Below are 16,246 nucleotides of genomic sequence, written 5' to 3'. Positions count from 1 at the left end.
CCATTTTAAAGTTTAACTTCCTCATTCTCCTCATCTCCTTGACCCTAGTTTCAGTAAACAACTTTTTCACCAGTTCTAATCAGTTCACACCTGTTTCCCTGGTCACCTGCTCCATGCTGAGTCACCACTGGTTACCTACTCTAACCTGAGTCACCCCTGTCACCTGCTCTGACCTGAGTCACCTTTAGTCACCTGTTCCATAACTGTCCTTCCCACCAAAACTGCTCACCCCGCCATTCTGTTTCATACCCCTGCTCTCTTTAAAATAGCCAATCAGAATTAGCTTAGACTGTGTGGTCCAACCCTAGCCAATAGGGGAATGACACAGCAGTAGGGGTTACTTGTATCAGAGATAAAAACCCCTCCCCCTCCCTTGTTCAGGTGTGCTCTCGCCATTGTTCCATCTGAGAGATGCACTCTTCTATAGAAGTAAAATTGCCTTGCTGAGAAAATTCGTGTTTGAGTGCTATTTCTTTTGCAGCACCAAAAATTTATTTCTAGCAAATTTGGGGGCCCATCTGGGATTCTCATTCTCCTCTGGGGAGGGTCTAGACCTCTCCCATGAGGAGACATGCCCTGCTGCCTCACTGCAGTGGCCTCGGGGGTAAGGAATTGAGACCCACCCGGTGTGATGAATAAACTCATGCTCTCAGCAATGAAGAAAGAAACCGGCTGGCAACCTGGGGGAAAGATCCTCACATACCACAGTGACCAGTAATTCTCTGCACAGACCAAGGTAAGAAACACCGCAGGGGCGACAAAGTATTTCCTTGGTCGTCAGGATATTCTGGGGGTTGAAAGTGTGTGTGAATGCATGGAGCCTCCAGCAGTTGGGGCTTAAGGATAGGTGAGACATCTCTAATATGAGAGATTGAGTCTAATAGCCCTAGCAAGCCCCCAGAGAAGGATAGGTAAGCCATCTGTAATACGAGAGATTGAGCCTAACCAGGACCCAATATGGGAAACACCCCAAGTAAGATAAGGGGTATAAAGGATAAAGTTAACAACAATAATACTCCGCCTAATAGTCCTCTAGGCCTAATGTTAAAATATTAGAAGAAAAAAAAACCTTAGAGAAATGATAATTGAAAGAATTTGAGAGTCTGCGCCCCGCATCCAAAGCATTATAAAACCTTTCAATATACAACAAGGAAAAGATGAAAGACCTACAAAATTCCTAGAAAGACTCAAAGAGCAAATGAGGAAATATGTAGGTCTAGAATTAGAAGACCCCCCTCAAATGAGGGATGTTAAAGCTTCATTTTGTAACTAATAGTTGGCCAGATATTAACAAGAAATTACAAGAGAACTGGAAAGATAGACCTATGGAAGAGCTTCTAAGAGAAGCCCAAAAAGTATATGTAAAAAGAGATGAAGGAAACACAAAAGCAGAAAGCAAAAATTCTGCTCTCCACCATATAACAAAGTACCCAGGGGGCCAGAACCTATAAAGAACCTAAACCCCCACTCTCCAGGTAATATAATGGGTATGAAAGAGTAAAGCCAGGAGACTCAAAGGTAGAAAAAAAAAAAAGGGACAGAACGAATGTTTCAAATGTGGAAAATTAGGCCACTTTAAAAGACAATGTCCTGAATGAGAAAAGAAAGAAAAAGTATCCCATTTAAAGCTTTTGAAGAAGACTAAGGAAGTCAGGGGCTCTTTTATTTTTTATCTTAAGTCCCACCAAAAGCCCTTAATAAATTTAGAAGTGGGACCTAAACTTAAGCTTATCACCTTTTTAATCAACACAGAAGCAGCTCGCTCCTCAGTTTGTTCTCTTCCATCCAGTGCAACTTGTTCACAAGAAGACCTTTTTATCTCAGGAGTAAAAGGAGAAGGGTTTAAAACAAAAGTCTTAGAGGAGACAGGAGTAAAATATAAAAACCAATCAGCTAGTATAAATTTCTGTCAATTCCGGACACAGGGACAAATCTATTAGGAAGAGATTCAACACTAGAATTAGGCTTAGGCCTCCAAATCAATCATAGGAAATTTCTCCCCTCCCTAAACTTGCTCACCACCGCAGATGAAGAACACATTCATCCCGATATATGGTCAAGAGACAGGAATAGAGGAAAGTTACAGATTCCTCTGATTCATGTTAAATTAAAAACCCCTGGGGAAGTAGTAAAGCGAACGCAATACTCTATTCCTTTAGAAGCCAGGGTAAATTTAAAACCTATAATTGAAGATCTTCTTTGTGATGGGCTTCTTAAACCCTGTATGTCTCCCTATAACACTCCAATACTGCCTGTAAAGAAGCCAGATGGGTCATATCAGTTAGTGCAAGACCTTAGAGCTATTAATCAGATAGTCCAAACTACACACCCTATTGTTCCCAATCCTTATGCTATTATCAGTAGGATCTCATACAGTCACCAGTGGTTTACAGTAATAGATTTAAAAGATGCCTCTGGGCTTGTCCGTTAGTAGAGGACAGCCAGGACCTATTTGTCTTTGAGTGAGAAGACCCTCACTCCAGTTGAAAACAGCAATACCAATGGACAGTCTTATCCCAAGGATTTATGAAGTCTCCAAATTTATTTAGTCAAATATTAGAACAAGTCATTTAATTAGCAAAGGTAAATGGAAAATTGAGCTTGAATGGATTAAAGGCATCATATCCTTGCCTCTGCCGGAGACTAAACAAAAACTTAGAAAATTTTAGGGTTAGTCAGATACTGTCATCTATGGATAGACTCTTATGCCCTAAAAACAAAACCTTTATACAAAAAGCTCATGCAAGACGGGCCAAACCCCCTCATTTGGCAATTACCAGAAATCCAAATTTCCACCTGGAAAGGTTAAAACATCTATTAGTAACTGCCCCTGTCCTAGCTTTACCCTCCTTAAGCAGCCATTCCATCAGTGTAAACAAGGGCATAGCCTTAGAAGTACTTACCCAAGAGCATGGTGGCCACTGGCAACCCTAAGCCTTCCTATCAAATATCCTTAAGCCAGTAACCCGCGGATAGCCCAAATGCGTTCAATCTGTAGTGGCAACTGCTTTGCTAACAGAAGAAAGTAGAAAAATAACTTTTGGAGGAAACTTCATTGTGAGCACACCTCACCAGGTCAGAACTATCCTAAGTCAGAAAGCAAAAAGGTAGCTTACTGACTCAAGAATCTCAAAGTATGAGGCTATTCTGTTAGAAAAAGATGATTTAACATTAACCACTGATAATTTGCTTAACCCAGCAGGTTTCCTAACAGGGGATCCAAATCTAGAGAGCGATCACACATGTTTACATTTAATTGATTACCATACAAAGGTCTGACCAGTCCTAGGAGAAACTCCCTTCAGGACAGAAGGACACTTATTTATAGATGGCTCCTCCCAGGTGATTGAGGGAAAATGACACAATGGATATTCAGTAATTGATAGAGAAACTCTTGTAGAAATAGTCAGGAAAATTGCCTAATAATTGGTCTGCTCAAACGTGTGAGCTGTTTGTATTCAACCAAGCCTTAAAGTACTTACAGAACCAGGAAGGAACCATCTATACTGATTCTAAGTACACCTGTGGAGTGGCTCATACATTTGGAAAAATTTGGACTGAACGAGGTCTTATTAATAGCAAAGGCCAAGACCTGGTCCACAAGGAATTAATCACCCAAGTATTAAACAACCTTCAGTTGCCAGAAGAAATAGTTATTGTCCATATCCCTGGATACCAGAAAAGCCTTTCTTTTGAAATTGAGGAAATAACCTAGCAGACCAGATAGCCAAACAGTCTACCATTTCTTAGCTGTACAACTGGCCTGCTTTGCAGCCAGGTAAAACCTAGGACACATGGAGTTAAATGCTAGAATAAGCCAGACTTTATCTGCACTTCTTTGTAGGTCCTAGGCTCTACACCTAGCACATATTAAAATCCCAAACTTACAAGATTTTCTTTAGTTTAATTAGATCCCATTTGTCAATTTTGGCTTTTGTTGCCATTGCTTTTGGTGTTTTAGACATGAAGTCCTTGCCCATGCCTATGTCCTGAATGGTAATGCCTAGGTTTTCTTTTAGGGTTTTTATGGTTTTAGGTCTAACATGTAAATCTTTAATCCATCTTGAATTAATTTTTGTATAAGGTGTAAGGAAGGGATCCAGTTTCAGCTTTCTACAAATGGCTAGTCAGTTTTCCCAGCACCATTTATTAAATAGGGAATCCTTTCCCCATTGCTTGTTTTTGTCAGCTTTGTCAAAGATCAGATAGTTGTAGATATGCGACGTTATTTCTGAGGGCTCTGTTCTGTTCCATTGATCTACATCTCTGTTTTGGTACCAGTACCATGCTGTTTTGGTTACTGTAGCCTTGTAGTATAGTTTGAAGTCAGGTAGCGTGATGCCTCCAGCTTTGTTCTTTTGGCTTAGGATTGACTTGGCAATGTGGGCTCTTTTTTGGTTCCATATGAACTTTAAAGTAGTTTTTTCCAATTCTGTGAAGAAAGTCATTGGTAGCTTGATGGGGATGGCATTGAATCTATAAATTACCTTGGGCAGTATGGCCATTTTCACGATATTGATTCTTCCTACCCAAGAGCATGGAATGTTCTTCCATTTGTTTGTATCCTCTTTTATTTCATTGAACAGTGGTTTGTATTTCTCCTTGAAGAGGTCCTTCACATCCCTTGTAAGTTGGATTCCTAAGTATTTTATTCTCTTTGAAGCAATTGTGAATGGGAGTTCACTCATGATTTGGCTCTCTGTTTGTCTGTTATTGGTGTATAAGAATGCTTGTGATTTTTGTACATTGATTTTGTATCCTGAGACTTTGCTGAAGTTGCTTATCAGCTTAAGGGGATCTAATTAAACTAAAGAGCTTTTGCACAACAAAAGAAACTACCATCAGAGTAAACAGGCAACCTACAAAATGGGAGAAAATTTTCGCAACCTACTCATCTGACAAAGGGCTAATATCCAGAATCTACAATGAACTCAAACAAATTTACAAGAAAAAAACATACAACCCCATCAGAAAGTGGGCAAAGGATATGAACAGACACTTCTCAAAAGAAGACATTTATGCAGCCAAAACACACATGAAAAAATGCTCATCATCACTGGCTATCAGAGAAATGCAAATCAAAACCACAATGAGATACCATCTCACAACAGTTAGAATGGCAATCATTAAAAAGTCAGGAAACAACAGGTGCTGGAGAGGATGTGGAGAAATAGGAACACTTTTACACTGTTGGTGGGACTGTAAACTAGTTCAAACATTGTGGAAGTCAGTGTGGCGATTCCTCAGGGATCTAGAACTAGAAATACCATTTGACCCAGCCATCCCATTACTGGGTATATACCCAAAGGACTATAAATCATGCTGCTATAAAGACACATGCACACGTATGTTTACTGCGGCACTATTCACAATAGCACAGACTTGGAACCAACCCAAATGTCCAACAATGACAGACTGGATTAAGAAAATGTGGCACATATACACCATGGAATACTATGCAGCCATAAGAAATGATGAGTTCATGTCCTTTATAGGGACATGGATGAAATTGGAAATCATCATTCTCAGTAAACTATCACAAGGACAAAAAACCAAACACCACATGTTCTCACTCATAGGTGGGAACTGAACAGTGAGAACACATGGACACAGGAAGGGGAACATCACACTCTGGGGACTGTTGTGGGGTGGGGGGAGGGGGGAGGGATAGCATTAGGAGATGTACCTAATGCTAAATGACGAGTTAATGGGTGCAGCACACCAGCATGGGACATGTATACATATGTAACTAACCTGCACATTGTGCACATGTACCCTAAAACTTAAAGTATTATAATAATAAAAAAAAAAAAAAGATTTTCAACAAAAGTAAAGTTGGCTAAAAGTTAATGGTACAGCATGTATTATCGCAACTTCTAATCTTGTGGCCTTAGGCAGTCTAGTCCACATACATGAAGGAAGTTTGCTTTGGGAAAGAACGATTATCATCTTTGACATTAAAAAAAGGAGAATTTATGTAAAAAGAGTCTTATATGGTAAATTCTTGTCCTAAAGTAAATTAACTGGTTGTTGAAAGGGATGTTTACAAGTCAGAAAGTTGAGGCATGTCAAAGATTGTCTGTAAAAGTCATAAAAAATGTTATAAAAGGGAATCTACGCAAGAAATGTTGTATAATTTAAAAGTAAGTAGGCCTCCTGAATGTAAAACTATTGAAGAAACAGTTTATGTGCAAGATGTATAAGGAAAGTAAAATATACTTTTGGTAAGAGTATTACTAGGAGGCATAAGAATGTGGATTTTTACCGACATTAAAAAGTTAAAAAATGCTTTGAAGGTTTATGCAAGTTTTGAAACATTAATTGTAAAGGAAATTCTGTGTATGAACATATTGGCTAAAGTTAAAGGGGTATCATCCAGTTTTGCTGTAAATTGGACATTAAAATAAAAGCACAATGGGTTTTTCTTAAAGCACTAACCTGTTCTTTAACAAAAATTATAAAGGGTTAAAAAGAGTGTATAAAAATCTTACCTTATGGTTAGACATTAAAATTGGATAAATATGTCTACAGGTTTTATTAAAATTGAGTTTAACATTAATAGCACACTGATATAAAGGTGAAATTTAGCTTATCTGGTATAAAATCATACAGGAAGCATTGCCAAATATAAAATGATGTTTGGCTTTCTTTGGTCTAAAAACTAATAAAAATAGGTGCTAAAGAATTCAGAAGGAAAACAGATATTGCCAGACCAGACAGAAATGTTATCCAAACGCCTTATGAGGAAAATCTTGTCCCAACTACATCGAGGGACCTATTGGGGGCCCCAGGGCATGTGTGATGCAGTTCTCAGAGTTTATGGGTACATAGGAATTTATATCCTGGCCAAACAGGTACAGACAGTTACTCAGTATGAAAAAAAAGAACCTAATAAACTATAAAAGATTACCCCTTGGGGGAAAGAGTCCAGGCTTAAGGCCATTCCAAAGTATCCAAGTTGATTACACAGAAATGCCTCCAATAGGTCGTCTAAAATACTTACTAGTGATAGTAGATCACCTCACTCACTGGGTCAAAGCTATCCCCTTTTCAAATGCAACAGCCAACAATGTAGCCAAAGCCCTGATTGAAAATATAGTGCCCAGGTTTGAACTAATAGAAAATATTGACTCAGGCAATGGAACTCATTTCACTGCATACATCATTAAAAAGCTGTCCCAAACATTAGACATTAGATGGGAATACCATACTCCCTGGCACCCACCTTCATCAGGGAGAGTAGAAAGAATAAATCAGACTTTAAAGAACCACTTAACAAAATTGGTACTGGTGACTTGGTTACCATGGACCAAGAGCCTTCCTATTGCCCTGCTGAGAATCTGAACTGCCCTGTGGAAAGATATTGGTCTTTCTCCTTATGAGATGCTCTACGGATTGCCTTATTTACACTCCACTGCTGACAATCCTACCTCTGAAACAAAAGATCAATTTCTTAAAAATTATACACTTGGCCTGTCTTCTTCTTTCTCTTCTCTTAAAACTAAAGTTCTCTTAGCACAGGCGCCACCCCTGGAGTTCCCAGTGCATCAAACATCAACCTGGGGATCACGTCCTCATCAAAAGCTGGAAAGAGGAGAAGCTGGAGCTGGCCTGGGAAGGACCTAGCCTAGTGCTCCTAACTACAAAAACTGCAGACTGGACAGCAGAGAGGGGATGGACCCATCACATCTGAGTCAAGAAAATGCTGCCCCACCCTGGAGTCATGGGCCATAGTCCCAGGGGAAACCCCTACCAAACTAAAGCTAAGAAAAATTTAACTCTCTTTCATCTATTCCATTACTCCTTATTTCCTCACTCTATTACTGACCACCTAGCTATTAATGTAACCAAGTCAATTTTGCCTCAAACTATTACATTTGATGCTTGCCTTGTTATACTCTGTGGAGACTGGCCAAGTCAAAGATAGCTCTCCACTTCAGAAAAGTACCTCTGTCCTTCCAGGTGCCCCTCAGACTGGACATGGTGAATTGGGATCATTTAGTCTAGGAAGATTTCAATGAAGACCCCAGTGTCAACTGGGAGTCTTTCCCCCCATCCCCAATCCAGAGCTTTTATGCCATAGTTGGTCCAACGTTCTGTGGACCACTAAAGAGCAAGGATGGACTGCCCCAACCAGTAGTTGTAATTTCCTAAAATCATAAAGTCATTTTACTAAAGGAACAGCTTCCCCTAACTGTCAGCTAAACCAGTGCAATCCAATACAGGTTATTATCCCAAACCCTCAAAGTTCTTCCCCTTCTCTAAGCCAGTTCCCTTCTTGAAGCCGGTTTTATGGGGGCTGAGGTTTCAGGAACAGACTCTATCGGATCCTTTGAAACACGTTTCATTGATCCGCCACCACCTACACCTTCCCCTAAGCCTTCTTCCAAAACCTCTCACAACGCAACGGTTGTTCCTCCCCCATCTAATGACAAGACCAAGGTAGCTATTGTAGAAGTTAAAGATGTAAAACAAACTTTGGCAATTGAGACAGGATAACAAGATACGAATGCCTGGTTGGAATGGATCAAATATTCCGTCCGCACTTTAAACAAAAGCAAACATTATGCTTGTGCGCACAGCAGGCCAGAGGCCCAGGTTGTCCCATTTCCGCTAGGATGGTCCTCCAGTCGACCAGGCATGGGCCGTATGGTAGCTCTTTTCCAGGATTCCACAGCCTGGGGTAACAAGTCGTGCCAAGCTCTCTCTCTGCTATATCCCGAAGTTCAACACCCTGCAGGTCAGCCCGAGGGCCATCCAGTCTCTGTCTTCCGACACTAAGTTCGCTTCATGTCTCTCACGACAAGGAGGAAACTTAGTGTTTTGGAGACCTGAAGGGATGCAGTGAGCTTAAGAATTTTCAAGAGCTTACTGATCAATCAGCCCTTTTTCATCCCCGAGCAGATGTATGGTGGTAGTGGTCAACCTTTACTGGACACTCTGCCTGGTAACTGGAGTGACACTTGTGCTCTAGTCCAGTTGGCTGTTCCTTTCACCCTGGCATTTCATCAACTAGAGAGAGGGAAAATACAACATCGTAAAACAAGGGAAGCCCCTTATGGGTCTTTCGACTCTCACATTTATTTAGATGCAATTGGAGTCCCATGAGCTTTAACCAGATAAAGTTAAAGCTCGAGATCAAACAGCTACAGGATTTGAGTCAGTATTTTGGTGGGTGAAAATAAAAAAGTAGATTGGATAAATTACATTTATTATAACCAACAGCAGTTTATTAACTACACTAGAGGTACTGCTAAAGGAATAGCTGAGCAATTAGGGGCTACTAGCCAGATGGCTTGGGAAAATAGAACAGCCTTAGACATGATATTAGCAGAAAGAGGAGGAGTTTGCATCATGATTAAAACTCAATGTTGTACCTTCATCCCAAACAATACCGCCCCTGATGGAAGTATAACAAAGGCATTGCAAGGTCCAACTGCTCTGTCCAATGAGTTAGCCAAAAGCTCAGGAGTAAATGACCCCTTCACAGGATGGCTAGGAAAATGGTTTGGTAAATGGAAAGGAATCACAGCCGCAATTCTTAACTTCTCTCGCAGCCATAGTAGGTGTACTCATTCTTGTCAGGTGTTGTGTCATACCATGCACCCGTGGGCTGGTGCAAAGACTCATAGAGACAGCACTTACTAAAACCTCCCTTAACTCTCCTCTACCTTATTCAGAGAAGCTTCTTCATTTAGAGAATCAAGCAGAACAACTAAGCCAAGACATGTTAAGGAAGTTTGAAGAGAAAGAACTGTAAAATTCAAGAGGGGGGAAATTGTTAAATACAGTGAGTTCTAACTTTCTCTTCAAAGAATCAGTATGTTCAGTTCTTTGTTCTCCATTTTAAAGTTGAACTTCCTTGTTCTCCTCATCTCCTTGCTCCTAGTTTCAGTAAACAACCTTTTCCACCAGTTCTATCAGTAGTTCACATCTGTTCCCCTGGTCACCTGCTCCATCCTGAGTCACCCCTGGTCACCTGCTCTGACCTGAGTCACTTTTAGTCACCTGTTCCATAACTGTCCTTCCTGCTGAAACTGCTCACCCCACCACTCTGGTTTATACCCCTGCTCTCTTTAAAATAGCCAGTTGGAATTAGCTTAAACAATGCGGTCCAACTCTAGCCAATGGGGGAATGATACAGTAGGGGCTACCTGTGTCAGGGATAAGAACCCCTTCCCCTCCCTTGTTCAGGTGTGCTCTCGCCATTGCTCCATCTGAGAGACACACACTTCTATAGAAGTAAAATTGCCTGGCTGAGAAAATTCATGTTCAAGTGCTATTTCTTTTGTGGCACCGAAAATTAATTTCTAACAATAGACTATCAAACATGTCTCAATAAATTTTTTAAGATCAAAGTAATGTCAAGTATCTCCTTAGACCACAGTGGAATAAATCTAGAAATCAATTCCAAAAAAGAGCCCTCAAAACTATACAAATACATGGAAATTAAATAATCTGCTCCTGAATGATTTCTGGGTTAACACTGAAATCAAGACGAAAATTTTAAAATCCTTTGAATTGAATGATAATGACATGTTATCAAAACCTCTCAGAAACAGTAAAAGCAGTGCTAAGAGGAAAGTTTATAGTGCTAAATTCTTACATCAAAAAGTCCAAAAGAGCACAAATTGACAATCTAATGTCACATCTTAAGGAACTAGAGAAACAAGAACACACTAACCCTAAAGCTAGCAATGGCAAAGAAATAAAGATTAGAGAATAATGAAATGAAATTCAAACAAAAACAAAATATCAATGAAACACAAGGCTGGTTTCGGTTGAATTTAGTTTGAACAAATTTAAACACAAAATACAAAATATCAATGAAACAAAAGGCTGGTTCTCTGAAAAGATAGACAAAATTGATAGACCATTAACTAAATTAACCAAGAAAATACAAATAAGCTCAATTAGAAATGAAACTTGAGATACTCAACTGATATACCACAGAAATACAAAAGATCATTCGAGACTGCTATGAACACCTTTATGCACACAAACTAGAAAACCTAGAGGAAATTCCTGGAAACATAAAACCCTCCTAGATTAAATCAGGAAGAAACAGAAACTCTGAACAGACCAATAACAAAAAGTGAAACTGAAATAGTAATTTAAAAATTGCCAACAAATAAAGACCAGGACCTGATGGATTCAAAGCTGAATTCTACCAGACACTCAAAGAAGGACTGGTACCAATCCTACTGAAACTATTCCAAAAAATTGAGAAAGAAGGAATCCGCCCTAAACCATTCTAAGAAGCCAGTATCACTTTGACAGCAAAACCAGGAAAGGACATGACAAAAAAAGAAAACTACAGACCAATGTCCCTGATGAACATAGATGCAATAATCCTTAACAAAATACCAGCTAACTAAATCCAACAGCACATCAAAAAGATAATACATCATAGTCAAGTGAGTTTCATCCCAGGGATGCAGGGATGGTTCAACATATACATGTCAATAAATGTGATATCACATAAACATAATTAAAAACAAAAGCCATATGATCATCTCAAGAGATGCAGAAAAAGCATTCAACAAAATCCAGCATCCCTTTATGATTAAAAAAACTCTCAACAAACTAAGCATAGAAGAGACTTACCTCCAAATAATAAAAGCCATATATGACAGACCTATCATAGACAACATCATACTGAATGGGGAAAAGTTGAAAGCATCACTGAGAACAGGAACAAGACAAGAATGCCCACTTTCACCACTCCTATCCAACATAGTTCTGGAAGTCCTAGCCAGAACAATCAGACAAGAGAAAGAAATAAAGGGCATCCAAATTGGAAAAGAGAAAGTCAAAATATCTGTGTTTGCAGATGACATAACTGTATACCTAGAAAATCCTAAAGACTCCTCCAAAAGACTATTAGATTTGATGAAGGAATTCAGTAAAGTCTCGGGTTACAAAATCAATGTACACAAATTAGTAACACTGCTATACACCAACAATGACCAAGCTGAGAATCAAATCAAGAACTCAATCCCTTTTACAACAGCAGCAAAAAAAAATTATAGTATTTAGGAATATACTTAAAAAGGAAGTGAAAGATCTCTACAAACTACAAAACACTGCTGAAAGACATCATAGATGACACAAACAAATGGAAACACATCCCATGGTTCATGGATTGGAAGAATCAATATTGTGAAAATGATACCTCCCCAAAGCAATCTACAGATTCAACACAATTCTCAGCAAAATACCAACATTATTTTTCACAGAATTAGAAAAAACAATCCTAAAATTTAAGGAACCAAAAAAAATCCCAAATACCCAAAGCAATCCTAAGCAAAAAGAACAAATCTGGAGGCATCACATTACTGAACTTCAAATTATACAACAAGGCTGTAGTCACCAAAACAGCATGGTACTCGTATGAATGTAGGCACATAGGCTGGGTGCAGTGGCTCATGCCTGTAATTCCAGCACTTTGGGAGGCTGAGGTGGGTGGATCACCTGAGGTCAGGCATTCGCAACCAGCCTGACCAATATGGAGAAACCCTGTCTGTACTAAAAATACAAAGTTAGCCAGGCCCAGTGGCACATGACTGTAATCCCAGCTACTCTGGAGGCTGAGGCAGGAGAATCGCTTGAACCTGGGAGCTGGAGATCGCGGTGAGCCAAGATTGTGCCATTGCATTCCAGCCTGGGCAACAAAAGCGGAACTCCACCTCAAAAAACAAAAAACAAAACAAAAGAAAGTAGGCACATAGACCAATGGAACAGAATAGAGAACCCAAAAATAAGGATTAAGAAACTCACTCAAAACCGCTCAACTACATAGAAACTGAACAACCTGCTCCTGCATGACTACTGGGTATATAACGAAATGAAGGCAGAAATAAAGATGGTTCTTTGAAACCAATGAGAACAAAGACACAACACACCAGAATCTCTGGGACACATTTAAAGTAGTGTGTAGAGGGAAATTTATAGCACTAAATGCCCACAAGAGAAAGCAGAACAGATCTAAAATTGACACCCTAACATCACAATTAAAAGAACTAGAGAAGCCAGAGTAAACACATTCAAAAGCTAGCAGAAGGCAAGAAATAACTAAGATCAGAGCAGAACTGAAGGAGATAGACACACAAAAAACCCTTCAAAAATATCAATGAATCCAGGAGCTGGTTTTTTGACAAGATCAACAAAATTGATAGACCGCTAGCAAGACTAATAAAGAAGAAAAGAGAGAAGAATCAAATAGACGCAATAAAAAATGATAAAGGGGATATCACCACCGATCCCACAGAAATACAAACTACCATCAGAGAATACTATAAACACCTCTATGCAAATAAACTAGAAAATCTAGAAGAAACGGATAAATTCCTGGACACATACACCCTCCCAAGACTAAACCAGGAAGAAGCTGAATCCCTGAATAGACCAATAACAGGCTCTGAAATTGAAGCAATAACTAATAGCCTACCAACCAAAAAAAGTCCAGGACCAGACGGATTCACAGTCAAATTCTGTCAGAGTTACAAGGAGGAGCTGGTACCATTCCTTCTGAAACTATTCCAATCAATAGAAAAAGAGGGAATCCTCCCTAACTCATTTTATGAGGCCAGCATCATCCTGATACGAAAGCTTAGCAGAGACACAACCAAAAAAGAGAATTTTAGACCAATATCCCTGATGAACATTGATGCAAAAATCCTCAATAAAATACTGGCAAACCGAATCCAGCAGCACATCAAAAAGCCTATCCACCATGATCAAGTGGGCTTCATCCCTGGGATGCAAAGCTGGTTCAACATATGCAAATCAATAAACGTAATCCAGCATATAAACAGAACCAAAGATGAAAACCACATGATTATCTCAATAGATGCAGAAAAGGCCTTTGACAAAATTCAACAACCCTTCATGCTAAAAACTCTCAATAAATTAGGTATTGATGGGATGTATCTCAAAATAATAAGAGCTATTTATGACAAACCCACAGCCAATATCATACTGAATGGGCAAAAACTGGAAGCATTCCCTTTGAAAACTGGCACAAGACAGGGATGCCCTCTCTCACCACTCCTATTCAACATAGTGTTGGAAGTTCTGGCCAGGGCAATCAGGCAGGAGAAGGAAATAAAGGGTATTCAATTAGGAAAAGAGGAAGTCAAATTGTCCCTGTTTGCAGATCACATGATTGTATATCTAGAAAACCCCATTGCCTCAGCCCAAAATCTCCTTAAGCTGATAAGCAACTTCAGCAAAGTCTCAGGATACAAAATCAATGTACAAAAACCACAAGCATTCTTACACACCAATAACAGACAAACAGAGAGCCAAATCATGAGTGAACTCCCATTCACAATTACTATAAAGGGAATAAAATACCTAGGAATCCAACTTACAAGGGATATGAAGGACCTCTTCAAGGAGAAATACAAACCACTGTTCAATGAAATAAAAGAGGATACAAACAAATGGAAGAACATTCCATGCTCTTGGGTAGGAAGAATCAATATCGTGAAAATGGCCATACTGCCCAAGGTAATTTATAGATTCAGTGCCATCCCCATTAAGCTACCAATGACTTTCTTCACAGAATTGGAAAAAACTACTTTAAAGTTCATATGGAACCAAAAAAGAGCCCACATTGCCAAGTCAATCCTAAGGCAAAAGAACAAAGCTGGAGGTATCACGCTACCTGACTTCAAACTATACTACAAGGCTACAGTAACCAAAACAGCATGGTATTGGTACCAAAACAGAGATATAGACCAATGGAACAGAACAGAGCCCTCAAAAATAATGCTGCGTATCTACAACCACCTGATCTTTGACAAACCTGACAAAAACAAGCAATGGGGAAAGGATTCCCTATTTAATAAATGGTGCTGGGAAAACTGGCTACCCATAGGTAGAAAGCTGAAACTGGATCCCTTCCTTACACCTTATACAAAAATTAATTCAAGATGTATTAAAGACTTACATGTTAGACCTAAAACCATAAAAACCCTACAAGAAAACCTAGGCAATACCATTCAGGACATAGGCATGGGCAAGGACTTCATGTCTAAAACACCAAAAGCAATGGCAACAAAAGCCAAAATTGACAAATGGGATATAATTAAACTAAAGAGCTTCTGCACAGCAAAAGAAACTACCATCAGAGTGAACAGGCAACCTACAGAATGGGAGAAAATTTTTGCATTCTACTCATCTGACAAAGGGCTAATATCCAGAATCTACAAAGAACTTAAACAAATTTATAATAAAAAAACAAACAACCCCATCAAAAAGTGGGCGAAGGATATGAACAGACACTTCTCAAAAGAAGACATTTATGCAGCCAACAGACACATGAAAAAATGCTCATCATCACTGGCCATCAGAGAAATGCAAATCAAAATCACAATGAGATACCATCTCACACCAGTTAGAATGGCGATCATTAAAAAGTCAGGAAACAACAGATGCTGGAGAGGATGTGGAGAAATAGGAACACTTTTACACTGTTGGTGGGACCATAAACTGGTTCAACCATTGTGGAAGACAGTGTGGTGATTCCTCAAGGATCTAGAACTAGAAATACCATTTGACCCAGCCATCCCATTACTGGGTATGTACCCAAAGGATTATAAATCATGCTGCTCTAAAGACACATGCACACGTATGTTTATTGTGGCACTATTCACAATAGCAAAGACTTGGAACCAACCCAAATGTCCATCAATGATAGACTGGATTAAGAAAATGTGGCATATATACACCATGGAATACTATGCAGCCATAAAAAATGATGAGTTCATGTCCTTTGTAGGGACATGGATGAAGCTGGAAACCATCATTCTCAGCAAACTATCGCAAGGACAAAAAACCAAACACCGCATGTTCTCACTCATAGGTGGGAATTGAACAATGAGAACACTTGGACACAGGGTGGGGAACATCACACACCGGGGCCTGTCATGGGGCGGGGGGAGTGGGGAGGGATAGCATTAGGAGATATACCTAATGTAAATGATGAGTTAATGGGTGTAGCACACCAACATGGCACATGTATACATATGTAACAAACCTGCACATTGTGCACATGTACCCTAGAACTTAAATTAAAAAAAAAAACCCAAACATGTACAGCCAACTGATCTTTGACAAAGCATATAAAAACATAAATTGGGAAATGGACACCCTGTTTAATAAATGGGGCTGGGAAAACTGGATAGCCACATATAGAAGAATGAAAATGGATCCCTATCTCTTACCTTATACAAAAATC

General features: G+C 39.4%; 1 pseudogene across 1 annotated transcript in view, besides 1 other annotated feature; it reads right to left on the bottom strand.

Moving 5' to 3' along the window:
- The window catches only part of TPRXL (tetrapeptide repeat homeobox like (pseudogene)), a 128,678-nt pseudogene that overhangs the window by 92,670 nt on the left and 19,762 nt on the right, over positions 1-16,246 (bottom strand). The gene's annotated exons all lie outside the window — the stretch shown is intronic.
- Positions 9,383-10,582: an enhancer, noted in NCBI's record as "P300/CBP strongly-dependent group 1 enhancer chr3:14004233-14005432 (GRCh37/hg19 assembly coordinates)". NCBI's record gives its function as "activates an origin of replication core promoter dependent on BRD2, BRD4, P300/CBP, MED14 and CDK7 cofactors, with strong dependence on P300/CBP, by STARR-seq in HCT116 cells {active_cell/tissue: HCT116}" and the evidence as "EXISTENCE:reporter gene assay evidence [ECO:0000049][PMID:35650434]".

The sequence above is a fragment of the Homo sapiens genome, chromosome 3, assembly GCF_000001405.40.
Source record: "Homo sapiens chromosome 3, GRCh38.p14 Primary Assembly".
NCBI lineage: Eukaryota > Metazoa > Chordata > Mammalia > Primates > Hominidae > Homo > Homo sapiens.
This window is presented reverse-complemented; position numbering and strand designations above follow the sequence as displayed.